The sequence below is a fragment of the Homo sapiens genome, chromosome 3, assembly GCF_000001405.40.
Source record: "Homo sapiens chromosome 3, GRCh38.p14 Primary Assembly".
NCBI classification, from domain to species: Eukaryota; Metazoa; Chordata; class Mammalia; order Primates; family Hominidae; genus Homo; species Homo sapiens.
In genome coordinates, this window is record NC_000003.12 from 142,140,143 (window position 1) to 142,167,292 (window position 27,150).

At 40.6% G+C, this 27,150-nt stretch overlaps 2 protein-coding genes and 1 pseudogene across 16 annotated transcripts in view, besides 6 other annotated features; 1 reads left to right on the plus strand and 2 right to left on the minus strand.

Moving 5' to 3' along the window:
* The window catches only part of TFDP2 (transcription factor Dp-2), a 205,117-nt gene extending 195,715 nt beyond the window's left edge, over window positions 1-9,402 (minus strand). For 9 of the 12 annotated variants that reach the window (NM_001375780.1, XM_017007100.3, NM_001178139.2 and 6 more), the window contains exon 1: window positions 9,041-9,402. The gene's annotated coding sequence lies outside the window, so the exon portion shown is untranslated. Of the gene's footprint in view, window positions 1-8,971 lie in introns of all 12 variants that reach the window. The other 3 variants (XM_047448783.1, XM_017007091.2, XM_047448775.1) reach the window with 1 other exon arrangement.
* Window positions 5,312-5,413, plus strand: RNU6-425P (RNA, U6 small nuclear 425, pseudogene; annotated as a pseudogene).
* Window positions 8,898-8,947: a silencer, noted in NCBI's record as "silent region_14784". NCBI's record gives its function as "represses an Ori minimal core promoter by ATAC-STARR-seq in GM12878 lymphoblastoid cells {active_cell/tissue: GM12878}" and the evidence as "EXISTENCE:reporter gene assay evidence [ECO:0000049][PMID:35858748]".
* Window positions 9,047-9,547: an enhancer, noted in NCBI's record as "H3K27ac hESC enhancer chr3:141868031-141868531 (GRCh37/hg19 assembly coordinates)". NCBI's record gives its function as "activates a minimal SCP1, AML or CMV promoter by ChIP-STARR-seq in primed H9 embryonic stem cells {active_cell/tissue: H9 hESC(primed)}" and the evidence as "EXISTENCE:reporter gene assay evidence [ECO:0000049][PMID:30033119]".
* Window positions 9,178-9,247: a silencer, noted in NCBI's record as "silent region_14785". NCBI's record gives its function as "represses an Ori minimal core promoter by ATAC-STARR-seq in GM12878 lymphoblastoid cells {active_cell/tissue: GM12878}" and the evidence as "EXISTENCE:reporter gene assay evidence [ECO:0000049][PMID:35858748]".
* Window positions 9,308-9,517: a silencer, noted in NCBI's record as "silent region_14786". NCBI's record gives its function as "represses an Ori minimal core promoter by ATAC-STARR-seq in GM12878 lymphoblastoid cells {active_cell/tissue: GM12878}" and the evidence as "EXISTENCE:reporter gene assay evidence [ECO:0000049][PMID:35858748]".
* Window positions 9,628-9,677: a silencer, noted in NCBI's record as "silent region_14787". NCBI's record gives its function as "represses an Ori minimal core promoter by ATAC-STARR-seq in GM12878 lymphoblastoid cells {active_cell/tissue: GM12878}" and the evidence as "EXISTENCE:reporter gene assay evidence [ECO:0000049][PMID:35858748]".
* The window catches only part of GK5 (glycerol kinase 5), a 68,059-nt gene continuing 58,293 nt past the window's right edge, over window positions 17,385-27,150 (minus strand). For all 4 annotated transcript variants that reach the window (NR_033289.2, NM_001039547.3, XM_024453436.2 and 1 more), the window contains one exon: window positions 17,385-25,628. Coding sequence is in view for 3 of the 4 variants with exons in the window: in NM_001039547.3 (NP_001034636.1) it covers window positions 25,480-25,628 (149 nt within the window). In the remaining variant the exon portion in view is untranslated. The remainder of the gene's footprint in view (window positions 25,629-27,150) is intronic.
* Window positions 24,147-24,882: an enhancer, noted in NCBI's record as "NANOG hESC enhancer chr3:141883131-141883866 (GRCh37/hg19 assembly coordinates)". NCBI's record gives its function as "activates a minimal SCP1, AML or CMV promoter by ChIP-STARR-seq in naive H9 embryonic stem cells {active_cell/tissue: H9 hESC(naive)}" and the evidence as "EXISTENCE:reporter gene assay evidence [ECO:0000049][PMID:30033119]".

Here is a 27,150-nt window from a genome sequence, read left to right on the forward strand (position 1 = left end):
TCCACTTGATCAAATCGGCCTTTGAAGCTTGTGCATGCCTCACGAAGTTCTCATGCCATGGTTTTCAGCTCCATCAGGTCATTTAAGGTCTCCTCTACACTGTTTATTCTAGTTAGCCATAACCTTTTTTCAAGGTTTTTAGCTTCCTTGCGATGGGTTAGAACATGCTTCTTTAGCTCAGAGAAGTTTGTTATTACCAACCTTCTGAAGCCTGCTTCTGTCAACTCATCAAAGTCATTCTCCGTCCAGCTTTATGCCGTTGCTGACGAGGAGCTGCAATCCTTTGGAGGAGAAGAGGCACTCTGGTTTTTAGAATTCTCAGCTTTTCTGCTCTGGTTTCTCCCCATCTTTGTGGTTTTATCTACCTTTGGTCTTTGATGTTGGTGACCTACAGATGGGGTTTTGGTGTGGATGTCCTTTTTGTTGATGTTGATGCTATTCCTTTCTGTTTGTTAGTTTTCCTTCTAACAGTCAGGTCCTTCAGCTGCAGGTCTGTTGGAGTTTGCTGGAGGTCCACTCCAGACCCCGTTTGCCTGGGTATCAGCAGCAGAGGCTGCAGAACAGCAAATATTTCAGAACAGCAATTATTGCTGCCTGATCCTTCCTCTGGAAGCTTCGTCCCAGGGGGGCACCCACCTGTATGAGGTGTCTGTCGCCCCCTACTGGGAGGTGTCTCCCAGTTAGGCTACACGGGTGTCAGGGACCCCTTGAGGAGGCTGACTGTCCATTCTCAGAGCTCAAACACCATGCTGGGAGAACCACTGCTGTCAGAGATGTTTAAGTCTGCAGAAGTTTCTGCTGCCTTTTGTTCTGCTATGCCCTGCCCACAGAGGTGGAGTCTATAGAGGCAGTAGGCCTTGCTGAGCTGAGGTAGGCTCCGCCCAGTTTGAGCTTCCTGGCCGCTTTGTTTACCTACTCAAGCCTCAGCAATGGCGGACACCCCTCCCCCAACCCGGCTGCAGCCTCACAGGTCCATCTCAGACTACTTCGCTAGCAGTGAGCAAGGCTCCACGGATGTGGGGCCCGCCAAGCCAGGCACGGGAGAGAATCTCCTGGTCTGCCAGTTGCTAAGACCATGGGGAAAGTCCAGTATTTGGACGAGAGCGTCCCATTTTTCCAGGTACAGTCTGTCACGGCTTCCCTTGACTAGGAAAGGGAAATCTTCTGATCCCTTGTGCTTCCTGGGTGAAGTGACGCCCTTCCCTGCTTCGGCTCACCCTCTGTGGGCTGCACCCACGGTCCAACCAGTCCCAATGAGATGAACCAGGTACCTCAGTTGGAAATGCAGAAATCACCCATCTTCTGCATCAATCACGCTGGGAGCTGCAGACTGGAGCTGTTCCTATTCGGCCATCTTGAACGAAGATCTATTTAATTTCTTTTAAAGTCAAAAGAACATAGGCCAGGTGTGGTGGGTTAAGTTTGTAATCCAGCACTTTGGGAGGCTGAGGCAGCAGATCAGTTGAGGCCAGGAGTTCAAGACTAGCCTGGCTAACATGGCAAAACCCTGTCTCTATTAAAAATACAAATATTAGCCAGGCATGGTGGCACATACCTGTTATCCCAGCTACTTGGGAGGCTGAGGCACAAGAATCACTTGAACCCGGGAGTCGGAGGTTGCAGTGAGCCGATATCATGCCACTGCACTCCAGCCTGGGTGACAGAGCAAGACTCTGTCTCAAGAAAAAAAAAAAGTCAAAAGAGCATGAAATATGTTGCAAAAGGACATATAGGTCTTAAATAAAATATTTATGTTGCAAAGAAGTTAAGATACTCAAAAAACTGGGGATAGAAGGAACACACCCCAACATAATAAAAGCCATATATGACAGACCCACAGCTAGTATCATACTGAATGGGGAAAAACTAGAAAGCCTTTCCTCAAAGATCTGAAACATGACAAGCATGCCCACTGTCACTACTGTTATTCAACAAAGTACTGGAAGTCCTATCTAGAGCAATCAGACAACAGAAAGATATAAAGGGCACCCAAATTGGAAAGGAAGAAGTCAAATTATCCCTGTTTGCAGATGATGCAATTTTATATTTGGAAAAACCTAAAGACTCCACAAGAAAAGTATTATTAATAGAAGTGATAAACAAATTCAGTAAAGTTACATGATACAAAATCAACATACAAAAATCAGTAGCATTTCCATATGCCAACAGTGAACAATGTGAAAAAGAAATTTTAAAAGTAACTCCATTTACAACAGCCACACATAAAATTGAATAACTAGGTAATAACCAAAGAAGTGAAAGATCTCTGTAATGAAAACTATAAAACACTGATCAAAGAAATTGAAGAGGACACCAAAAAAATGGAAAAATATTCCATGTTCATGGATTGAAAGAATCAATATTGTTAAAATGTCAATACTGCTATCAAAGCAATCTACAGATTCAAGGCAATCCCTATCAAAATGGCAATGACATGCTTCACAGAAATAGAAAAAACCATCCTAAGATTTATATGGAACCACAAAAGACCCAGAATAGCCAAAGCTATCTTGAGCAAAAAGAACAAAACTGGAGGAATCACATTACCTGACTTCAATTATACTACAGAGCTATAGTAACCAAAACAGCATGGGACTGGAATAAAAACAGACACACAGACCAATGGACAGAACAGAGAATCCAGAAACAAATCCACACACCTACAGTTAACTCATTTTCCACAAAGATGCCAAGAACACACACTGGGGAAAAGACAGTCTCTTCAATAGATGGTGCTGGGAAAACTGGATATGCAAATGCAGAAGAAAAAAACCAGACCCATATCACTTGCCATACACAAAAATCAAATCAGCCTGGGCAAGGTGGCTCACGCCTGTAATCCCAGCACTTTGGGAGGCCAAGGCGAGCAGATCACTTGAGGTCAGGAGTTCAAGACCAGTCTGGCCAACATGGTGAAACCCCATCTCTACTAAAAATACAAAAATTAGCCAGGCATGGTGGCACATGCCTGTAGTCCCAGCTACTTGGGTGGCTGAGGCACAAGAACTGCTTGAACCTGGGAGGCTGAGGTTGCAGTGAGCTGGTATCAAGCCACTGCACTCCAGCCTGGGCAACAGAGCAAGACCCTGTCTAAAAAAAAAAATCAAATCAAAATGGATTAAAGACTTAAATCTAAGACCTTAAACTGTGAAACTACTAGAAGAAAATATTGGGGAAAATCTCCAGGACATTGGTCTGGGCAAGAATTTCTTGAGCAGTACCCCACAAGCACAGGCAACCAAAGCAAAAATAAACAAATGGGATCACATCAAGTAAAAAGTTTCTGCACAGCAAAGGATACAATCAACAAAGTGAAGAGACAACCCAAAGAATGGGAGAAAACATTTGCAAACTACCTATCTGACAAGAGATTTATAACCAGAATATATAAAGAGCTCAAGCAACTCTAGGAAAAAAATCAAATAATCCCATTAAAAAATGAGCAAAAGATCTGAATAGACATTTCTCAATAGAAGACATACAAATGGCAAATAGTCATTCGAAAAGGTGCTCAACATTGCTGATCATCGAAGAAATGCATATCAAAACTACAATGAGCTATCATTTCACCCCAGTTAAAATGGCTTATATCCAAAAGACAGACAGTAACAAATACTGGTGGGGATGTGCAGAGAAGGGAACCTTCTCAAACTGTTGATGGGAACGTAAATTAGTACAACCACTACAGAGAACAATTTGGACGTTCCTCAAAACACTAAAAATTGAGCTACCATATGATCCAGCAATCCCACTGCTGGGTATATAGCCAAAAGAAAGGAAATCAGTATATTGAAGAGATATCTGCATTCCTATGTTTGTTGCAGCACTGTTTACAATAGCTAAGATTTGGAAGCAACCTAAGTGTTCGTTAACAGATGAATGAATAAAGAAAATGTGGTACATACATACAATGAAGTACTATTTGGCCATAAAAAAGAATGAGATCTATGGCCAGGCACGATGGCTCACATCTGTAATCCCAGCACTTTGGGAGGCCAAGAGAGGTGGATTGCTTGAGGTTAGGAGTTCAAGACCATCCTGGCCAAAATGGCAAAACCCTGTCTCTATTAAAAATACAAAAATTAGCCAGGTGTGGTGGCACATGCCTATAATCCCAGCTACTTGGGAGGTTGAGGCACAAGAATCACTTGAACCCAGGAGGTGGAGGTTGCAGTGAGCCGAGATTGCACCACTGCCAGCCTGGGCAATAGAGCAAGGCTCTGTCTCAAAAAAAAAAAAAGCGGGGCAGCAGGGGTGGAGGGGTTTGAATTTAAAAGGACAGTAAAGAGGAAACAGAAAAAGGGAGTTGGAAAGTACTATGCTCAGAAATCAAATTCTAATTAGATTACAGCTTATGCCACTAGGAAAGAAAATACTTAGTTATTTATTTATTCCTATTTATTTATTTATTTATTTAGAGATAGGGTCTCACTCTGTTGCCCAGGCTGGAGTGCAGTGGCACGATCACAGCTCAATGCAGCCTTGACTTCCTGGGCTCAAGAGATCCTCCCACCTCAGCCTCCTGAGTACCTGGGACTATAGGCACATGCCACCAAGCCTGACTACTTTTTGTATTTTTAGTAGAGACAGGTTTCACCATGTTGCCCAGGCTGGTCTTGAGCTCCTGGGCTCAGCAATCCGCCCACCTCGGCCTCCCAAAGCACTGGGATTATAGGCGTGAGTCACTGCACCTCCCAGAAACGACTTTTAAAACATACATGCATTTTTAAAACAAAGATAACTTTGGCTGCCATACATAAGGACCAGAGACAGAAAAGGACTGGAAGAAGGAAGGTTAACAGGAAGCTATTACTGCAGTACACTAAAGAAGGAATGGTGGCAGACTACGGTAATATTAACAATAGGAGGAATGGAGAGAAATAGATGTACATTACCTTTTTGCTTCAGGCATTTTTATTAAGAAAAATTCTCTTCCGATGGCTCAAGTAAAACAAGCATTGATATCTTGTGCAAAATGGGCATTTAATAAATTTATCAATGAACTGGAGGAAATGAAAGCTCAATATGAACATGAAGATAAAAGACAGTTCCTAACTACTCTAAGTAAACCTTCAACAAGGTATATTGCTCCAAATAAAATTCCACACAGCTGTTGGCAATCATTTAGGAACTATGGTGAGCAGGAGAGGTTGCCAGAAGACTAAAGACAGAAAAATGTAGTACTCGTGTTCAAAAAAAGAGAAATGGGATCCTGCCAACTATTGATCACTGAAGTTAGATGTAATTTTAGACATGATTCTAGCATCATTACTAAGAGAAGTTTGTGAACACTTAGAAAAAGTAGTAATCAGTGCTCCCTTAGTAGCACATATACTAAACGGGAACAAATCAGAGATTAGCATGGCCCCTGTGCAATGATGACACACAAATTCTTAAAGCATTCCACATTTTTACTTGAATTAAAAAATCCTTTTCTCATACAAAAATCAGCCGGGTATGGTGGCAAGCGCCTGCAGACCCAGCAACTCGGGAGGCTGGAGAAGGAGAATTGCTTGAATCCAGGAGGCCACTGCACTCCAGCCTGGGTGACAGAGAGAGACTCTGTCTCTAAATAAATAAATAAATAAATAAATAATCCTTTTCCGAAAAAAAAGACAAAAAAGTAGTAATTAACATATGCTACTGGAATATAGTATAGTTTCACTAAGGACAAGTAATGATAGGGTAAAGAAAACGAAGCATATAAAATCTGGGTTTTAGTAAGGCAACTGTCAAAGTTCCTCACATATTCCTTATGAGAACTTGGAAACATATGAGGTAGATGATGATTAAAATTAGCTGAATTTCTAATTGGGTGACCAACCTGAACCAAAGAATTAATAATAAAATTTTTTATCACCTTTAAGAGAGGTCTTTAGCAGGTAAAGAACTCTGACCTCAGCCCTGCCTAGACAGCATTTTAGTGAAAAATTTGCATGAAAGCAATGCCAAAATTATCAAACTTGTATGTTTATCAAATGCATAGATTTGATATTTATTGGATGACCAAATCAGGATTTTTTTAATGTCAACAGACTAGAAGCAATCTTACAAAATAAAAATATAGATACATGTAAAGTCCTACCAAAAAATATTCTATTAAAGAATTGAGAGAGTATGACTTTAAGAACAGAGAGAGCATGAACAAAATAATTCAACAATTTTAGTTGACAAGGAAACCAATAGTAAAATAGGTATCATACATACATAGTACTGGGATGCCACAACCCATTCTAAATGACTTATATATATATATTAATTATCTTCAGAATTGTGTAAGATAGACACTATTATTAACCCCATATTAGAGATGAGGAGACTTAGGCCCAGAGTGTTTACATAACTTACTCAGGGTTACCCAGCTGATAAACTGCAGAGCTAGGATCTAAACACAGGAAGGTTAGCCCCAAAGTTAATCTTCTTAACTAGTAAATTATTATAAAGTAACAGTGTAATGTGGTTGCCAAAGAAGCAAGTCTACTCTTAAAGTACATGCTTTAAAATTAGAGAGGTAACTTAGTCTTCTATACTAGTTAATACCTAATTTGGGGTACCATGCTTGTCAGAAGAATGTGGATGAACTAAACAAATCCACAAGTGGGCTATGAGTTCTGTGAGGAGATGTGAATGAAAACAATGACACAAAAGTCACTAGCAGAGGTTAAAGACTGAGAATATTTTCTAACACTCAGTGGAATATAAGTATCTTCAAATAGTTGAAAACCCACAATACAGAAGAGACAGTGAGGACACAATTTCTAGTTCAGTGAAAGAAATAATTTTATAAAAATTAGAGTTGTCCAAACATGGCGAGGTGTGTGCCTATAACCCCAGCTACTTGGGAGGGTGAGGTGGGAGGATCACTTGAGCCCAGGAGTTCCAGACAAGCCTGAGCAACATAGAGAAACCCTGTCTCAAAAAAAAAAAAAAAAAGAATTGATCAAATATCTTTGCCTCAGAAACTATGACACTATAAATAGTCTCTCCAAAAAATATACAAATATGCATAATTTTGCATAATATTTCCAAGAGTTCACAAGCCTACTTTCATATCTATTCATGCCGCACACCTAGAGTCATGTATCCCAGATTAAAACGGAAAGGATTTAAGTATGAAGAGGTGAGTGTATTTGATTCTCTTTAAAATCCACTACAATTTAAAATTCTATGATCTAAAAGAACTCTCAATCTATGCCTTCTAGTTTCTTCTGAGATCCATTATAACACATATTGCAATAAGAGTTTAAAAGATGATGACAAGGAAGTACATCCCACTTCATCAGTTATATTGAGGGCACACGGCTCAGACAGTTAAGAATTTTAGCTGCCAGAGAAAAACTTCCATGTGCCACTTGGACTACACATTCACAAGAGTCAGGGTGGGAGGAATTACATGATCACAAAATGAGAATATGAAGTATTACACACTGCAAAAATTCAGCTTTCCTTTTTAAACACCTAGAAATGAAGAGAACTGAAAAGTAAGAGTTTAGTAAGTCTTGAACCTTTTATTAACAAATGTAAGGGCCACAGTGCTCAAACTGCAACTGCACAGCCAGAACAACGCTACAGACACCATGTCTACTCTTAGACTAGACTAGTTACAGGCACAAGATGTTCTAATAAATAACAAACACATCCAGAGCCAGTACACAAGTGTGACAGAATCTGGGGTCTAGGCATTTGATTTTTCTCCTGGTGCTGTCTGAGAATGGACACTGCCATTAAAGATTAATTACAGTAATCTGATAGTGATAAAGTTTAGCTAAATAACAGGCTAAACAATGAAATGGAAAAGGAAGCTGCAATATAGATCAATTAAACTATTTTTATATCTACTTTTAAAGAGAGACAGGGACATGATTATGCCATATAGAAAATAGATGAATATATATTCACGAGCTGAAAAAAAAAACAGGTAAATTATTTATTAGGTGAAGATAAATTCAAGCCATGAAGAGAAAACACATGGCCCAGAAAAAAAAAAAAGTAGGTTGTGCAAGTCAAATGAAAAGACACAAAACTCAGATCTCGGGGAGACAGGGGAAGGAGAAGGCTGAGCTAAAAGAGAGCCTTACTGAAAGAAAGCAAATAAGTGAGAGGGAGTCTGTGCCCTCTGAGATGGAATGAGGAAAAGATAAAAGTATTCATGGGCTCAAAGGCAGCTTCAGCAGTGAATATGGAAAAGGAATGAGCCCGTTCACTGTCTCAACACTAAAAGGGAAATAATATAGGGTCTTTTTCTAAACCAGCATCCATGGCAGTCAATAATAAAAGTGCCTAACTAATGCAAGGCATTTAATACGTGGAGGATTTTCTTACGATTGCATTCCATACATTAGTCCATTCACTCCCCGAAACACACCGAATAGGTGGATGCATCTAATTTACAGATGAAGAAACCGAGATCACACAATGGGAGATAGCACAGGCTGGTAAGAGAGACTGGGGCGCTCATCCACTTCGTTGTACTGTCTCTCAGCGAGATCCTAGGAAAACCCTTACACTTCTTTGTGAAGACAGACCTTGGCTTTCCAGATTTTCTCAAAGGAGTCTGGGCCCAAAAAGCGATCCTCTACTTCAGAGAAAAGTTCCTTTATGGGGCATATGAGGTTCTTCCAAGCACACAAAGCTTAGAAACTCTTTAAAAACAAACAAAACACCTGGTGGACACAGAGGCCTGTGAGTCATGAAAGGAGAAGGGAAAAATCGGAAAACCAGATTTAGAAGCCATCCTTCTTTGAAGAGAACGAGAAAGTAGAAAGCAGCCCTTCCCCTCTTCCACGAGGCGTGACTCAGGGACGTTACCTCCCCCGATTTGCTCTATGCACTAAGAGGGTGACCCTCCTCTGCTTTCGACTCTGGCCCAGACACTCACGGGTTACCCGGCCAGGCCTGGAGAACCCAGGTCTAAACAGATGGGACTCGTGGGGGAACAAGGGGGCCCCTGTGCGCAGGGAGGGAAACCTACCCAGGAACGCGCCCGGCCGGGTCCAAAGGCCCTCCGCGCGCGGGCCCGCGCCCTCGCCCCAGACCTTACCGCCTTCGGCTGCAGAAGAACTGGCGGCCAAGCGAGGCTGTCGGGCCGAGCCAGGAGCGCGTCTTCGGGCGCCGCCGCTTCTGTGGCGCCCGCGCTTAGGCGGCGGCCGGGTCCCGGTGGACTCACACCCGGGGAGACGCGGCCTGCCCGGTCAAGGCCCAGGAGTTTGAGGCCCCAGAACGCCAACCGTGCGCGCGCCCTCGAGCCTGCCCAAAGATGAAGGGTCAGGGCGCGCCCCGCGGGCCGGGCAGCTGCGGCAGCGCCGCAGCCGAGATCGCTACCGATTTCGTCCGCCCTCTCCCTGCCCAGCTACAGCCCCGCTTCCCCCGCGCGAGCTTTGGCGGCGGAGCAGCACAGTGCGCGCCGATTGGCCCTCAGAATGTGCGACGCCTGGCGCCGCTCCCCACGGATTGGCCGGGCCGGCAGTGCGTGCACGGAGTAAACAAACCCCGCCCCCAGGCTTCCCTTTGAGAGTAGGGGGCCAACAGATGGAGGGGCGGGACTCGTGCACTCAGCCACCGCCCCTTGGTTCCCCCTGTGGCCTCCCTGGGAGCCCTCCGCAGGACCCGACCACCCCGCTTCCCCGCCGCCTCCAGGGACAGCTGCGGGCCTGAGGCCTAGAATTTTAGACACACTTCCTTCATCACTCCTATCTCATCCCCCCTACTCCCACCCTGCGACTTGGGTGGGAATCTCTTTTCCAACTGACCCCGAAGCCAGAAAACCCCAGCTCTCTTGGAAGGAGGGGGACTGGGGCAGTTCCATTCGGTCCCCAGGCCTTTGCGGGGTCGCCCTGGGGGAGCATCAATAAGGGACAGGGGGGCGAGTGATCGTGATTGAGGCTATGCGTGGGGCCAACTGTGGGACACCTTGAAATTATTCAGACAATGAGTTAGAGACCACTGGGAATGTGGAGGTTCTTCAATATCAAGGCAAGTTAATACCCAAACCAGGACAGGTCATTCTGTCCCGCGGAAACTGCACACACCCCAAATACCCGTACACTTGGTTCCATATGAAAAGATTTTGTTCATTCGTTCGTGCCGAAGTTAAAAACCCCGTGTGAACAGCGCATTAAAACGATTAGATCTTTCTCATTTTACTCCAGTCAAATCTTATAGATCTTCTATATGCCACTTTGTTTGTTTTTGAGACGGGGTCTTGCTCTCACCGAGGCTGGAGTGCGGTGGCAGGATCACGGCTCATTGGAGCCCTGACTTCCCAGTCTCAGGTGATCCTACCACCACAGCCTCCCGAGTAGCTGGGACTACAGGCCCGCGCCACCACACCCGGCTGTTTCGCCATGTTTCCCAGGCTGGTTTGGAACTCCTGGACTCAAGAGATCCTCCCGCCTGGGCCTCCCAAAGTGGTGGGATTACAGGCGTGAGCCACCACGCCCGGCCCCAAACACTATTCTTGATATGGGGAGACATCAGTGGACAAAATAGAGACAAAAACTCCTGCCTTCATGGAGCTTACATTCTAGCAGGATGGGAAAGATAATATGCAAAAGAATACGTAAAACAAAAACTATATTACATGCTGGTATGTGTGCTATGGGAAAAAAATATAAGCAGAGGTGTTGGAGGAATGGCTTCAGTCCTAAATAGAGTGATCTGGGAAGGTAGCACGGAGAAGGTGGTATTTAAGCAAATGCCTAAAGGAGATGAGATAGGTAAGAGAGCACTTTCAGATCTTTCTCTGGGGCAGGGTGGAGAGACAATTGTATGCATAATTGCATGTAACTAGTCCTGAGAGTCCAAGAATGTCAAATGCAGTACTCCACTGACTGATTCTAAAATGCAAAAACCCCAGTGATTACTTCACATTCTCCAGTAACAAATCAATAAAAATTTAGTTTCCACAAAAAATATAACTTTAAGAAAACTTAAAGTTATATTCAACAAATACTTTTCACTCTAGGTACTACGTATACAAAAATGAGCAAGACAGACAAAACATCCACCCTCAAGGAACTCAGTGTAGCAGAGGAAATGGATTGTAAACCACCTCAATTCAATGCGTAAATAACCATGATGGAAGTACACACACAAAGTGCTTGGGCTAATGTAGGGAAAGGGGTCGCTGTCATAGAGGAGCTGTAACTATCTTAGGATCTCTTTATCTATAAAAGATAGTACTAAAAGATTCAGTACTAAATTTGGAGTGAAGTTATGGCTATGAGGGATTCCCTAACCTCTTTATAGGTCAGAGTCTGAAGATACTAGGTTGAACCACATGAAATTGCTGATATTGGGCAATTTTCATATGGTTCAACTTACTCTCTTGCAGAGGTAGTATGAGGATTTTGCTATGTAATGCATGTAGTAAGTGTTCAATAAATGATGGCAATTATTATATTCATCGTATAATATAGCTTTTGAAAATAAAGATTTAAAAGTCAATGTTTTATAACACCTTCCAACGCCATTACATAAAATGGGCAGTGAAAGTTTCAAATTTTCCATATCCTAGTTTGATTTAGTTGTGAATTTCCATGACCTAATCAGGGCATGTTGTAAAAGACAGTAAATGTTAGTTTCACAGCAGGCCAAGAAATTCAGAATAAGGAGGAACAGCTTGGTTTTTAAGCCAAAAACTGAGAATTCTCCAGAACAGAATAAATTGTCAAGTTGCTACAGGGAAGAAAATTCATGTAAATCAATTTTTCATTCCCACTCATAGTTCCAATTTAGCAATTTGCACAACAGTCAGCTTTCTTTCTTATTTCCCCATTAAGGGATCTTATTTCCTTTGAAAAGGAAAATAAAGTTTCCACCATCTCCAATGCCAGAGAGTAGACATCTGAAATGTGACAGAACATTTATTGATTCTGCAAACATTTATTAAGCACTTATTGTATGCCAAGAACTATGCAAGGCACTGGCAATACAAACAGATGTCCAAAGAGCACCATTCATTGGCATTCCTTATGCTTGGAACAATCCCCCAGTTCACCCACAACTCACCTGCACATGCCTTTTCATCTAAACTTAAACAACACTTTCTCCAGAAAAGCTTCCCCGGAGTCCCCATCTCCAACTGTTTTCCCATAAAATTTTCTTTGACTTTCCAACATTCATTAAACTTGTAATTACTCACTTGCTACCTGCATCCCATTAGACTGTAAGCTTCTAGAGTCAAAGTCATATCATTCTATTCACTATCATCTCCTCAGTGCTTAATGGAAGTTCAATGTTTTTATTGAATAGATGAGAGTCCACAGCCCAGCAAATTTGGAAAGAGGAGAGAGGTATAATAAAGTCTACTCTATTTAGAAATATGCGGGCCACAGAATAGCCAACACAAAGAGGGTTGTGAAAAAGACGGGTCCATTACAGTTAAACCTGAGGCATTTCCACGTGCTGCCCCCTCTGCTGGCACTGGATACTGCTTTTGCAGGTGGAAGTACCAGACTCCTGGACCACTGCCTCTCAAACCTTGAGGTGCACAGTAATCACTTAGGGAATCTTACAATTCAGTCTGTAAGGTGTGGCTTCAATTCTGCATCTCCAACAGGCTTCCAAGTGATGCTGGTGCTGCCTCAGCAGCCAAAAATCACACTTGGAGTAAGAAGGTCCTTAGTGACACCTTTTATCACATGAAAAGATCTGCAGTTGTCAGAACAGTTTCAGATTTTTTTTTAAAGCATCTTCTTTTCACACCAAATCCATCTAGTGACTGACAAAAGAAATAACACTTATAAGTGTTAAATCTGGGTCTTGCTTCTAGAGACAATCCTGTTATGTACAGTTTAATCACCTTAATAGGACAGAGTAGAGGCGAAGCCTCGGAATTTCCTCAGGGAGGGATTCAACCTCTCCCCAGTTTTCTGGAATGACTGCATTAGAGCAGTAGAAAGGTTTCAAAGTCACCCTTAATAAAAGTAACCCCTTAATATCAAACCTAAAATATTTTTAGGATAAAATATTTTATTCACCCTAAAAAATATAAAGTAAATGTGAGATATGAGGAATCATGATAAACCCTCATGTACCTGCTTAAGCAACATATTATTAACACCATTGAAACCTCATGTGCCCCCTACCAGTGTGTCCCCACAACTTTCCCTTTCCAAAATAACATCTTAAATTCTGTGTATAATTTCCATGTTCTTCTTTATAATCTTAACACACGTGTATGTATATCCAAATAATATATTGCTTAGCTTTTCATGTTTTTGAACTTCATAAATTTAGAATAAAATTTATTATTCATCTGCCAATCTTTTTTTGTTCAACATTTTAAGAGGGTCATCTATCTTGATGGGTGGTCATTCATTTTCACTAATGCAAAAATAACATTTACATACTCCATTCTATTTTATTATTTTTTTTTTAATTTTATTTTGAGACAGACTCTTGCTCTGTTGCCTAGGTTGGAGTGCAGTGGTGCAATCTCAGCTTACTGCAACATCTGCCTCCCAGGTTCAAGTGATTCTCTTGCCTCAGCCTCCCAAGTAGCTGGGATTACAGGTGCGCGCCACCAATCCCAGCTAATTTTTGTATTTTTAGTAGAGACGGGGTTTCACTATGTTGGCCAGGCTCGTCTCGAACTCCTGACCTCAAGTGATCCGCCTGCCTTGGCCTCCCATAGTGCTGGGATTACAGATGTGAGCCAACATGCCCGGCAGATAATCCATTCTCTTACTGAAAGGCATTTGGGAGTTTTTACCTTTTTTCATATTCTGATGCTATGAATATTCCTGTCTCCTTTGTACATGTGAAATTTTCCACAGGGTCTTAGATTATGAACAGGGGTGACAGTCAAAATATTTAACAACTGGTAATGCACAGATCTTAGCTGGTTCTCCTTCCCCACAAACACCCTGACACAATTTCTTACATGCAGTTGGTTTATTTTGGGAGATGATTCCAATGAACTGGAGTGGGAGACGGCAAGCGTGAAACACGAAGGAGGAAAAGCCAACCCCATGTGTTATGGGTTACTGAGATGTGTTACTGAGATGATCACTGCTGGAGGCTACTGAGGCTTGATCCTGGACGGGACTCTCCAAGAAGTTTTGAAGAGCATACTTCAAAACTGTCCACTTGAAGGACAGAAGAGGGGCATATTTACACACTGGCTCCCATCCTCACTGTGAAAAAGTTGCTCTGTCGGGTGTCAACTCTCTAGTACTTCAAGGTTTGGACATGGGTGAAAATAACAGAGCAAGTTCAGACAAGTATTCCAAGCTGAGAGGCAAGGAAATCCTAGTCCAGAACAGGAGATATGGTAAGGCACAATGAGGCAAGGTGTTGTCAGCATACACCGGGGCAGCTGATTGCTGCAACAAGTGGAATAAAAAGGTGGGCCAAGATGATAGGAAGTGGGGCAAGAGGTGACCAAAACTGATATAAATAATTGAGTGATAAATTAATGGAGGATAAGAGACAGCTCTTCCATACAGTAGAATTCAATTAATAAATAAAAAGGCATAATGGAAATAGAAAATCACCATTACTAGGCACTCAACACCGGAATGATTGTTGCAGGAGAAAACTATCCATGGACACTAAAACTAGTGAGTGAAAAGTGTGATGGCAAACAGGATATTTACATGGTCTCAAAGTATCTTCTCAGAAAATTCTTATTAACTACTAAAGAAAAATAGTAACCTTAGAGTGGAGAAATCTGGAAGACACTATCTTAATCTATCTTAATCAAGTGATCAATGTTAACATCATCGGTAATAAGACACAGGGATATAGCTTCATGATAGGATGCACTGAGAAGTCCACAATATCACTTCTGCAGTATTTTAACAAAAGTGCAAAACCTCAATCTACACACAATAAAAAATCAGGCCAAGCCAAAGTGAGGAACATTCTATAAAATAACTGCCAGTACACTTCAAAAATGTCAAGGCCATGAAAAAAATAGACTGAGGAACTATCTCAGATTGGAGGAGACTAAGGAGACATGAAAATTAAATACAATGTGGGATCCTGGACTGAATTCTGAACGAGAAAAAGGACATCACTCAGAAAACAGGCAAAATTCAAATAAGGTCTGTAGATTAGTTAAGACCACTGTATCAATGTGAATTTCCTGATTCGAGTAATTGTATTATGGTTATACATGATGTTAATTAGGAGAAGCTAATGAAAAGGGAACTGTGTACTATTTTTACAACTTTTCTGTAACTCTAAAATTGTTTCAAAACAAAAAGTTAACAATTAAATACCAGGGGATCTTATTAAAATACAGATTCTCATTCAGTAGGTCTGGGATAAGGCCTGAAATTCTGCTTTTCTAAAAAGCACCTAGGTGATGTTGAGACTGCTGGTCCCAATGACATATTTGAGTAGCAAGACTTTGTTTCCCCCAGTTGTACTGAGGTATAACTGACATGGAATAAACTGTACATAAAGTGAACAATGTGATGAGTTTTGATGTATGCATATACCCATGAAACCATTGCCACAATCAAAATAATGAATTTATTATTGGGAGATAATTCTAAATAGGTTTCTCATTTCTGTTTGTGTTACAAGCACAGACACTGACTTTTGTTGTAAGACAGAGATGGTGTCTCCCTCCACAGCAGAGGGCAGTTTTGTCCAACGATCAAACATCATGATAATAATTTTCCTCTGGGACAAGCATCAGAGAGGTTTACTTCCAATCTATTAAGAAAGATTCAGGTTTCCTGAGCCTGAGGTTCTTCAGCTTTACCACAAACCACTGCATTCACAGGATTAACCTGAAATGCTCCTCACAGGACTTAGGAGGCAAGGAGAACCAACGTAAATATGAAGATAATTGATGCTTGCTATGTTATGAGTAATAAAGTCTTTAATCCCTGAGGCAGGAGTCTCATATCTTTTGTCATCAGTACAGGTTGAGCACCCCAAATCCAAAACTCTGAAATCCTAAATGCTCTTAAATCTGACATTTTTAATTAAAACATTTTTATTACTAGAGACAGCATGTTGCTTGCCCAGACTGGAGTGTGGTGACATGATCATATCTTACAGTGAACTCCTGGGTTCAAGTGATCCTCGGGCCTCAGTCTTCCAAGTAGCTGGAACTACAGGCATGACCATCATGCCTGGCTGATTTTCTTATTTATTTTTTTTTTTAGTAACAAGATTTTCCTATGTTGCCCAAGCTGGTGAGGCTTTTTAAGCACTGACATGATGTGTGAAGGAAATGCTCAGATCTGGGTATCAGATTTCAAGTTTTCAGATTTTGGATGCTCAATTGGAAAGTATATATAATAAAAATATTCCAAAATCAAAAAAAAAATCTTAAACCCGAAATACTTCCGATCCCCAGCACTTCAGATAAGGGATACTCAACCTGTATCTATAAAACTGTGGGAGGCTAACTTGTTAGCTTCCAAAGTAGAGTAAAATTTCAGACTCTTCTCAGTTCTTGACGGTGTTTGGTGATGAAGATTGGGATGCTAATAGAAATAATGGCTTTCTGGAAGAGAGAAGACAAGGGCTCCCATGGGCTGGGTGAAAGGATATGAGAACTCCCTGGGATCTGGTAGCAAATGTTCTTGCTCAAGTGGTGGGCAAGGGGGAAGGAAAATTTGGCAAATCTAATGTATTTGCCTTATAATCTCCTTTTTTTTTTTTTTTTTTTTTTGAGACAGGGTTTCCCTCTCATGCCTCAGGATGGAATGCAATGGCGTGATCTTGGCTCACTGCAACCTCAGCCTCCCAGGTTCAAGCGATTCTCCAGCCTCAGCCTCCCGAGTAGCTGGGATTACAGGCATGCGCCATCATGCCTGAATAATTTTTGTATTTTTAGTAGTGACAGAGTTTCACCATGTTGGCCAGGCAGGTCTTGAACTCCTGACCTCAAGTGATCCTCCCACCCTGGCCTCCCAAACTGCTAGGATTACAGGCATGAGCCACCACTTCCAGCCTAAGCTCCACCTCTTAATGGGTTCTGTTTCTTTCTAAAGAGCAAAAAATACACGAATACTCAATATTATCATCATTTCTTTTTTTCTACAATTTCTTTTAAATAAAACCCATTCTTCAAAATTATTGCTACAAAATAACCAGAGAAACTTCAGCAACGTCAGCTCCACATATCTCCATAATGTCCCCCGTTCCTTGTCCTCTTCAATAGACTAATATTACTTTGAACAGGAAAAAAAAACAACATATGACAAAACCAAAACCTCTTCCTTTCTTCAAACAACTCAATGTTCATCATTCTTCTACTATGAATGTTCATACATCTTCTACTATGAAATAGTACCCTGGGCTCATGAGAGACTCCACTATGGTCAAGGAATGGAATCCAGATTATCTGACTGAATCTTCCACCCATATAGATGTCACTAAATATGTGTGTGAACTCAAAGCAAATAACAGAGAAACACAATATAAAAATGGCTTTAATATACCAACGTACAGATTATTCAGTTCCATTGTAATTTCCCAAATAATTTTAGATTATAATTTTCAGAAAGGATTTTTAACATCTGCTAGGCTAATTCCATCATATTAGTATATGAAATTATCTTTTCTCCAGTTATTTATAATCTTTCTAAATATTTTAAAATACAGTATATTTTCACAACAAATTTTATTTTCCCCACAACAAAGAATTATCCCACTTCTCTAGTAATTTCCATCGTGCAAGAATGTAGAATATAGACTAATAAGCCTAAATAGGATCTAAAAAGGCAAGTTACCTAAAACCCTTCTTGTCTAACCATATTAAGGCCCAAGTTTACCTAGAGTCACAATTGTAGTTAACAAGTGCTATTTCTCTGGTTGTTTTTTGTTGTTGTTGTTGTTGTTTTTGTTTTTTTTTTTTGAGATGGAGTCTCACTCTGTCACCCAGGCAGGAGTGCAGTGGCGCGATCTCAGCTCACTGCAAGCTCCGCCTCCTGGGTTCATGCCATTCTCTTGCCTCAGCCTCCCGAGTAGCTGGGAGTACAGGCACCCGCCACCACGCCTGGCTAATTTTTTGTATTTTTAGTAGAGACAGGGTTTCACCATGTTAGCCAGGATGGTCTCGATCTCCTGACCTCGTGATCCGCCAGCCGTGGCCTCCCAAAGTGCTGGGACTACACGTGTGAGCCACCATGCCCGGCCTTGTTTTTGTTTTTGCCAAGTTTCACCATGTTGCCCAGGATATCCTCAAACTCCTGGGCTCAAGTGATTCTCCAGCCTCAGCCTCCTGAGTAGCTGGGAATAGAAGAGCATGCCACTGTGTCTGGCTTCTCTGTGACTTTCTTAATGTGCAGAAACCAAAACAGGTAATAGTATTTAATAAGAATGTCCTGGTAATTTTTTTTAAATCTAAAAGTAGACAAAAAGGGAAGGGAAAAATTCATATGCAGATGAAAAATATTCTATTACTGTGGATCCTTGATTTTTTGTATAGATCTTAACAATGATTTATGAGGTTCTCAATGACAATTTAATAAAACTGCAAAATTCATTAAGAGCATCACAGAAGGCCAGGCACAGTGGCTCACATCAGAGAAATAAGATTATGAATTTACTGAGGCATACAAATTGGAATCTACATTTACCATCTTGTACAAATAGGAAAGTTTCTAATAACTTATTAACAAAATCATTCTGAAACCTTTACACAAATCAGCCTGCTTTAAATAAAAAGGTTAGAAACATTATGATAACTATGTACAAAGTATATATCTGTATACTCTAACATTCTAAATAAAGGTATCTTTGAAAATTTACTATTATACAGTATTAGTACCATACTCTATAATGAGCAAAGAAAGAATATGAGAACTCTTGGGCTCAGTACAGTGTAAATATGTTCAAAATGCTATACACATTTTGCCTGGAAAGATTTAAAAAATCCCACATAATCACATAAACCACTGGACTGACTTTTAAAAACTTTAAAAAAGATATTTAAAGATATGGCTCATTAAGCAAACATTTAGTGATCATATCTCACTGCAGCCTCGAACTCCTGGGCTCAAGTGATCCTCCTGCCTCAATTGGCAAATGGGCAAAAGATATGAACAGATATTTCACTGAAAAGGATAAACAGAATGGTTGAAATAAGAAATAGTGACAACACCAAATGCTGGCGAGCATGCAGAGAAACTGGATCACTCATACATTCCTGGTGGGAATGTAAGATGGTATAGCCAGTCTGGAAAACAGTTTGGCTGTTTCTTATAAAGATAAGATTCATTTAAATGGGAGTCTCTATATCATTTGTTTCCTAAACATCACGGGTATCTATCTAAACACAGCCATTTTATAACAGATCAAATTTATAGTAAAGTGGGGAAAGACAGTAGAAATAGAATAACAGAGAATTTCAGAAATATCTGATTTTGCAAGCACCTGTTTCTGTCCTTCCCACTCCAAGATCATTCCTGCATTCCTCTAGGAACAAGGGTCCCATGGGAATATGATACAGCCAATGACTTAGGTGCCAATAGATGCTGGTGCCAAAATATTTATGGCTATGAGGCTTCAAAACTTAAAAAAAAAAAAAAGATTCCTTTTACTTGGAAAGGGGATTTAAAAAGAAAAAACCACCAACACGATTTTGAATCATCTATTTAACTTTTTTAGATTACCCATTTTGACTGGTTCGAACCAGAAGACCTGGCTTTGGGTTTACAATAAGACGATTCTGGGACCAAGTAGGTTGTAAAGGCCCAAGGTATGTTTGGGGCTTTCTCTCTCTCTCTCTCTCTCTCTCTTTTTTTTTTTTGAGACAGAGTCTCGCTCTCTCACCCAGGCTGGAATGCAGTGGCCCAATCTCGGCTCACTGCAACCTCCACGTCCCGGGTTCAAGCAATTCTCCTGTCTCAGCCTCCCAAGTCGCTGGGACCACAGGCACATGCCATCAGGACTGGCTAATTTTTGTATTTTTAGTAGAGATGGGGTTTCACCATATTGATCAGGCTGGTCTTGAACTCCTGACCTCAGGTGATCCACCCGCCTTGGCCTCCCAAAGTGCTGGGATTACAGGCGTGAGCCACTACACCTGGCCTTTTTCTCTCTTTTTTTAAATTGAGATGGGTGGGGTCTCACTATGTTGCCTAGGCTGGTCTCGAACTCCTGAGCTCAAGCGATCCTCCCGCCTTGGCCTCACAAATTGCTGGGATTACAGGTGTGAACCACCACGCTTATCCTGGGGCTTTTAATTCTTACTGAAAATCATAGTCTAAATTTCCCAAAGGGATTCAGAATCCTTTGGGGTACATTCAAGTCTTCTAGGCCATCTCTGGGATGACTCTAGAATAACTTAAAGTCAAAGAACTCCAGGGTATATCTACATCTCTCCTCAAATAATTACAAAATTCTTGCAAGATTCCTGGGCTGGACTGTTTTAAATTAAAGACTGGTCCCTTACAGGAGGGGCTATTTATGAAGTTCCTTCCCTATAGCACCAGAGTGTTTCGCACTCTTAAAATTCAATCTGTTAGTCATCTGCAGTCAAATATATAAAACCTGTGAAGAGAAAGGCTTCAATTAAAGCTTAAAAAGTTAATATATCTATGTGTATTTACAGACATGTGTCTCTACACAAATAGTTTTTCAAATATATAAACATATTAAGAATTTTATTTTATTTTATTAAGACAGGGCCTTGCCCTGTTGCCCAGGCTGGAGTGCAGTGGCACAATCATAGCTCATAGCACCCTCAAACTCCTGTGTTCAAGCGATTCTCCTGCTTCGGTTTCCTGAGTAGCTGGGACTACAGGGGCATACCACCACACCTGGCTAATTTAAAAAAAATTTTTTTGTAGAGACAAGGTCTCACTTTGCTGCCCAAGCTGTAACTGAACTCCTGGCTTCAAGTGATCCTCTGGCCTCAGCCTCCCAAAGTGCTGGGATTACAGGCATGAGCCACTGTACTTGGCCAAAAATTTTAAATAAACAACATGAGGATTCTAGCTCTCACTACAGAGTAGTTCTTCTTTTGTTTTTTTGTTTTTGTTTTTGTTTTTGTTTTTTTGAAATGGAGTTTAACTCTTGTTGCCCAGGCTGGAGTGCAATGGCGCGATCTCGGCTCAACCGCAACCTCTGCCTCAGGGGTTCAAGCGGTTCTCCTGCCTCAGCCTCCTGACTAGCTGGGATTACAGGCATGTGCCACAACGCACAGCTAATTTTTTTGTAGTTTTAATAGAGATGGGGTTTCTCCATGTTGGTCAGGCTGGTCTCAAGCTACTAACCTCAGGTAATCCGTCCTCCTTGGCCTCCCAAAGTGCTGGGAAGAGTATAGTTCTTCTTAATCCAACAAAAAAGTATTTTACTCACAACAAATATAAATTGCCCCCATCAACAAATGTATGTAATATCAAGGATAACGTGTACAAACAAAGTTGCACTAACAAAGTAAAAATTTATCCCACATACATGAAAGCACAGTGCTAAGTTCTGGGGAAGCAGACAGTTTCTGCTTTCAGGGAGCTTCCAGTCTGGTAGAGATTTACACAGAAGGCAGATTAAAGAGAATGATGATCTCCTTTGTTCAGAGATAAAAAGGAAGCAAAAAAGCAGGTCAAATCAAAGATGATCTGCAGAATACATTAACCCTACACTGAAATCATGGACCTACTCCAGTAATTAAGGCTGCAGAGGTGGGGCTGGGTGGATGAAAACATCAGAAGACAATTACAGCATGAGATATTGATTGATTGATTGATTGATTGATTGAGACAGGGTCTCACTTTGCCACCCAGGCTAGAGTACAGTGACACCAACTTGGCTCACTGCAGCCTCCACCTCCTGGAGCTCAAGTGATCTTCCCACCTCAGCCCCCTAATTAGCTGGGACTATATGTGTGTGTCACCACACCCAGCTAATTTGTGTATTTTTTGTAGAGATAGGGATTCGCCAGGTTGCCCAGGCTGGTCTCAAACTCCTGAGCTGAAGTGATCCGCCTGCCTTGGCCTCCCAAAGTGCTAGGATTACAGGTGTGAGCCACTGTGCCCAGCTGAGATTTATTTTTTCTTTATTAATCAGCAAAATAGATACCCTATTTATTTCAAGATACGATTAACTAATTTTTTTGCTAACAACCATTTCCTAAGGTAAAATGAGGCAGAAAGAAAAGGAGTATGACACTATATTCACTGAGTCTTCGATTTTCTTCTAACAGCCTGTATCAGTGGCTCTCAACTGGGGGCAATTTTGCCTCTCAGAATGGCAATGTTTGAAGACATTTTTGGCCATAACAACTAGGGGGATGGTACTTGTAGCTAGAGGGCAGAGGTCAGGGATATTGCTAAACATCCTATAAAGTACAGCATAGCATCCCAAAATAAAGATTTATCCAGTCCAAAATGTCAATGCTGAGATTAGGAAACCATGCCATGGTTGGATAAAAAAGATGAAAAAATCAGTATGTCTATAGTATAAAAGCAATTAGTAGCACTTTAAGATAGATTGAACAGGAACATTCTCTTCCTTTATCAGACAGTTGCAGACCTTCTAAAAATATCTGATAGATCTATAATGGGAAAATAAAACATGCTGAGAAGTAGCACAAATTTTTCTAAACTTCAAATATTAGCATACAAATGAAAAACAAACTTGGAAGACAGAAAGGACAAGCCAGGCATGGTGGCTCACGCCTGTAATCCTAGCACTTTGGGAGGCCGAGGTGGGTGGGTCACAAGGTCAGGAGTTTGAGACCAGCCTGGCCAACATGGTAAAACCCTGTCTCTACTAAAAATACAAAAATCAGCTGGGCGTAGTGACGTATACCTGAAATCCCAGCTACTTGGGAGGCTGAGGCAGGAGGACTGCTTGAGCCCAGGAGAGGGAGGTTGCAGTGAGCCGAGATCATGCCACTGCACTCCAGCCTGGGCAACAGAGCATGACAATGTCTCAAAAAAAAAAAAAAAAAAGAAAGGACAATTTTGTTGCTCAATTGATCTTATCAACTGTTTCTGCAACCACAAAAGCAAATGTGGTCATGTTTCTGATTTTAGTTAAGTCCAAAAATATTTATTAAAGTCTTATCACTAAAAATGGCCACAAATATTAAAAATAAAATATTAGTTTTTAGATTCACAGAAGAAAAAAATAGCCACTGACACTTGAGGAGATGCTCAATTCCGATGAGGGACATTCAAAGTTACTTTCCAACATTATCTGAAAAGTATTGATCCTTTTTTTTTTTTTTTGAGACGCAGTGTCGCTCTGTTGCCCAGGCTACAGTGCAGTGGCATGATCTTGGCTCACTGCAACTTCCACCCCCCAGATTCAAGCAATTCTCCTGCCTCAGCCTCCCGAGTAGCTGGGATTACAGGCTTGCACCACCACATCCAGCTAATTTTTGTATTTTTAGTGGAGACAGGGTTTCACCGTGTTTGACCAGGTTGGACTCCTGACCTCAAATGATCCGCCCACTTCAGCCTGCCAAAGTGCTGGGATTACAGGCATGAGCCACTGCACACAGCCCAAAGTATTTATCCTTTATTTTGTGGTTATATGTTGGGAAAGAAGAACGTGGAAAAGAAGTGAACTAACAAATTTTCAGGTATTAATATTACAATTCAGTACATTCTGACAAAAAGAATTATTTCCTATGAAATTACACCCATTGGCTGGGTGCAGTGGTTCACGGCTGCAATCCCAGCACTTTGGGAGGCCAAGGTGGGAGGATCACTTGAGGCCAGGAATTAAAGACTACCCTGGGCAACACAGCAAGACCCTGTCTCTACAAAAAAAGAAAAAGAAAAAAAAATTACACCCACTGAGAAACAGAATGTGTAACAGTAAAACAACAGAGCAGCTTCCATGTGATTTTGATAGGAAAGCTTTAATTGGTGACTAAGCTTTGTAAAAAGGATGTAAACAGGGGAAAGAATGAAAAGAATAAGATTTATCTACATAATGAAGTTTGACTTTTTACAGTAAATAAAATACCTATTTATTAATATTTCCAAATATTAATTAGATTTAATAATACTATATATTTGTTACAATGCCTTCATCAGAAAATTTAATAATTAAGAAGATACTTGAAGTTCATTCAAATGGCACTTGCAGAAATGCAACTTAATTTCTAGTTCTATCATATCTGTCTCCAAAATGGACATATATGACAGCAAAAACAAAATTCTCTATAAATCTCTCCATTAGTTACATTACTATGTAACTAAAATAGCTAGTTCTATAATAAAAGGATTTTATGTGCCAAATCCTGACCAAGAGAGAAATAAAGTCATTATTGCTGCAAATCCAAATGGAACCTAACCCAAATGTAGGGAGGGGCAAATAAAGTGAAAACATGTTGGAAGGTGGGGTCAACTGCCTTAGGACAATTCTACATCCAGCTTGACACTACTCACGACTTACTCCTCCTCACTGTTTCTTCCAAGAAAGTCTAAGCATGTGAAACTGTCCTTGTTGCTCCCTGTGGATCTCTGGCTGAGTGGCTAAAGGGCAATCCTGAGCATAGACACACTCTCCTCCCTTCTATCAGCTGTCCCCCACACATACTCACAGGGATGAGTAGACTGAACAAACATCAAAAAGACGCAGGAACAAATAAAATACCCCAATAAAGGCAATTCTTAAGTGGTCAATAAATTAGGGCACTTCTTCAAATTAAGCTCTGTCAATTAGGCACTTAATAAAAACAAAAGACATTTATACAAGCATCTAAATAACAAAGAAAGATAAAGAACAAGAGAAAGACAAGATTTATGTTAACTACCAGCATGTTATACTTCAGCCAGAAGTTTTTGAAAGAAACGTTATTTGAGAAGGAAAATAAGTAGTATTTTTCTGTTTCTTAAAAATCAATATTCTTTCTAGTTCATTAACTAAAATTAGTTTTTCAGTGTTTTCAACATAGAAAGAATGCTCAGATTTTGGTTGAACAAGGAAAAATTAAGGCAGTGTCTTTAAGACCAGTAAAGGAAAGCATTAACTATCTCATAAGCTTATCTGAGAGGGACATATTAAGCTCATATTTGGATATAATATTAGGAAATTATGGCTTTAAACATAAAATATTAATGTTTCAAAATTCCACATTTTCTCAGTTATTCTTTCTTTTTAGCTATATGTACTTCAAATAGCCCACTTAAAGAATTAAAGAAATACGTTTCACATAATTTTGGAACAATATGTGCATGGTACTTGACCCAGAACTATTAGCTTGGATGGTAAATCATTATGTTCCTATGTACCACTGACCCAGTATAAAAAGGAAGAGGACCCATAACTGTCAAAATGTGGTTGGAAATGACTAATGTCCTTTGGAATTTGCTACAAAATAGAAGATATAAAGTTTTGAGGTATTGCTGCCTTACCATGGTTTAGGGGAAAAAAATAAGAGTTTTTTGTTCCGTTTTGTTTTTTTAAAAGCAATGCTTCTTAAGTTATGAAGCTTATTTAAAATTTTCTCCTCTTAGTCATTGTCATATGGGTTATCCCTGAGCTTCATCTCATCTGCACGTCACATAAACCAGCTACCTATGGTTTTGATCATTTCATTTAGTGTTATGTCTTGTTATACCAATTCATGGAGCGTTTCACTGCTTTGGCCCAGTTTTCCAGACTCATTTCATATTCTTGACATTTCTTCTGTGGCTTGAAAACCACTTCACTTTGTCTCAGTTTCTTTAGTTCCTCCTTGTCAGTCCAAAACCCTATAGATAAAAAAATTATCCTCAAATTTTAAGGCAAATCATGAGTCCAATAAAGTTTATCCAAAAACCTATACGAGTTGCTGGTAGAAAGGTAAACAAAAACTATTTTTAAAACAATCCAAAATACTTTGTTACTTTTGAATTTTGTTAGATCGATCATTCCTGAAAATAATTATACCAGTATTTTCAAGTCTTTTGGTTTCTAACTTTCAGCTCAGTTTCTGTGTGGTGGGACACCACATCACTTCTAAAGCAGCTACCCTATGCCATCATTTAATTTCATAACTTGCTATTATTAAAACAATCCCAAGTGAAAAACAGTATATTTTCTGGCCAGGCACAGTGGTTCATGCCTGCAATCCCAGTGCTTTGGGAGACTGAGGAGGGGAGACCACTTGCTTAGGAATTCAAGGCTGCAGTGAGCTATGATTATATCACTGCACTCCAGCCTGAGTAACAGAGAAAGACCCTGTCTCTAAAAATAGAAAAACAGAAGAAAAAAAAAGAGAAAGAAATAGGATATTTTCTTTTTTATGCAATTACAATAAATGAAGACAAATTAAGATTTTTGTCTTACAGCTTAAGGTAAATGTCAACTTTCTGGAATATGCATAAAATTCAAAGTTGGAGATTAATGTAATAGTTTCTCTTTCAAACTATAGCCTTTTATATAATTTATTTAAATTCCAGTTTAAGATAATTTTGTAGTTCTAGCATAGACTGCTCTTTGAAGGAAGGATCATATGATATATAATAAAAAGCAAGAGAACTTTTTTTTTTTGAGACAGAGTCTCTTTCTGTCACCCAGGCTGGAGTAGAGTGGTGCGATCTCAGCTCACTGCAACCTCCACCTCCCGGGTTCAAGCAATTATCCTGCCTGGGCCTCTCGAGTAGCTCGGACCATAGGCACGTGCCACCACGCCCGGCTAATTTTTTGTACTTTTAGTAGAGACGTGGTTTCGCCATGTTGGCCAGGCTGGTCTCAAACTCCTGGCCTCAAATGATCCGCCCTCCTCAGCCCCGCAAAGTGTTGGGATTACAGGTGTGAGCCACAGCACCAGGTGAGAACATTTATAACTAAGATCATAAGTAGTCTGAAATGATACAGGTATCTTATTAGTAAGCTTGGCACATTTCACCTACTGAGAGGTCTATCACACCTCTTTTGAAGTACCAAAAGTCTACAAATCTTCATGAAGTACATTTTTTCTTACCAATAAAACTGACACATTAAATTCTCCTTTCTAAAATTTTGTCAGGTCATATTCTTTTTATTTACAGTCAACATTTTAGACCATCTATGTTTAAAGGTATTAATGTAGGCCAGGTGTGGTGGCTCATGCCTGTAATCCCAGCACTTTGGGAAGCCGAGGCGGGCAGATCATCTGAGGTCAGGAGTTTGAGATCACCTTGGGCAATATGGTGAAACCCTGTCTCTACTAAAATATAAAAAATTAGCTGGGCGTGGTGGCACGCGCCTATAGTCTCAGCTACTTAGGAGGCTGAAGCACGAGAATCACTT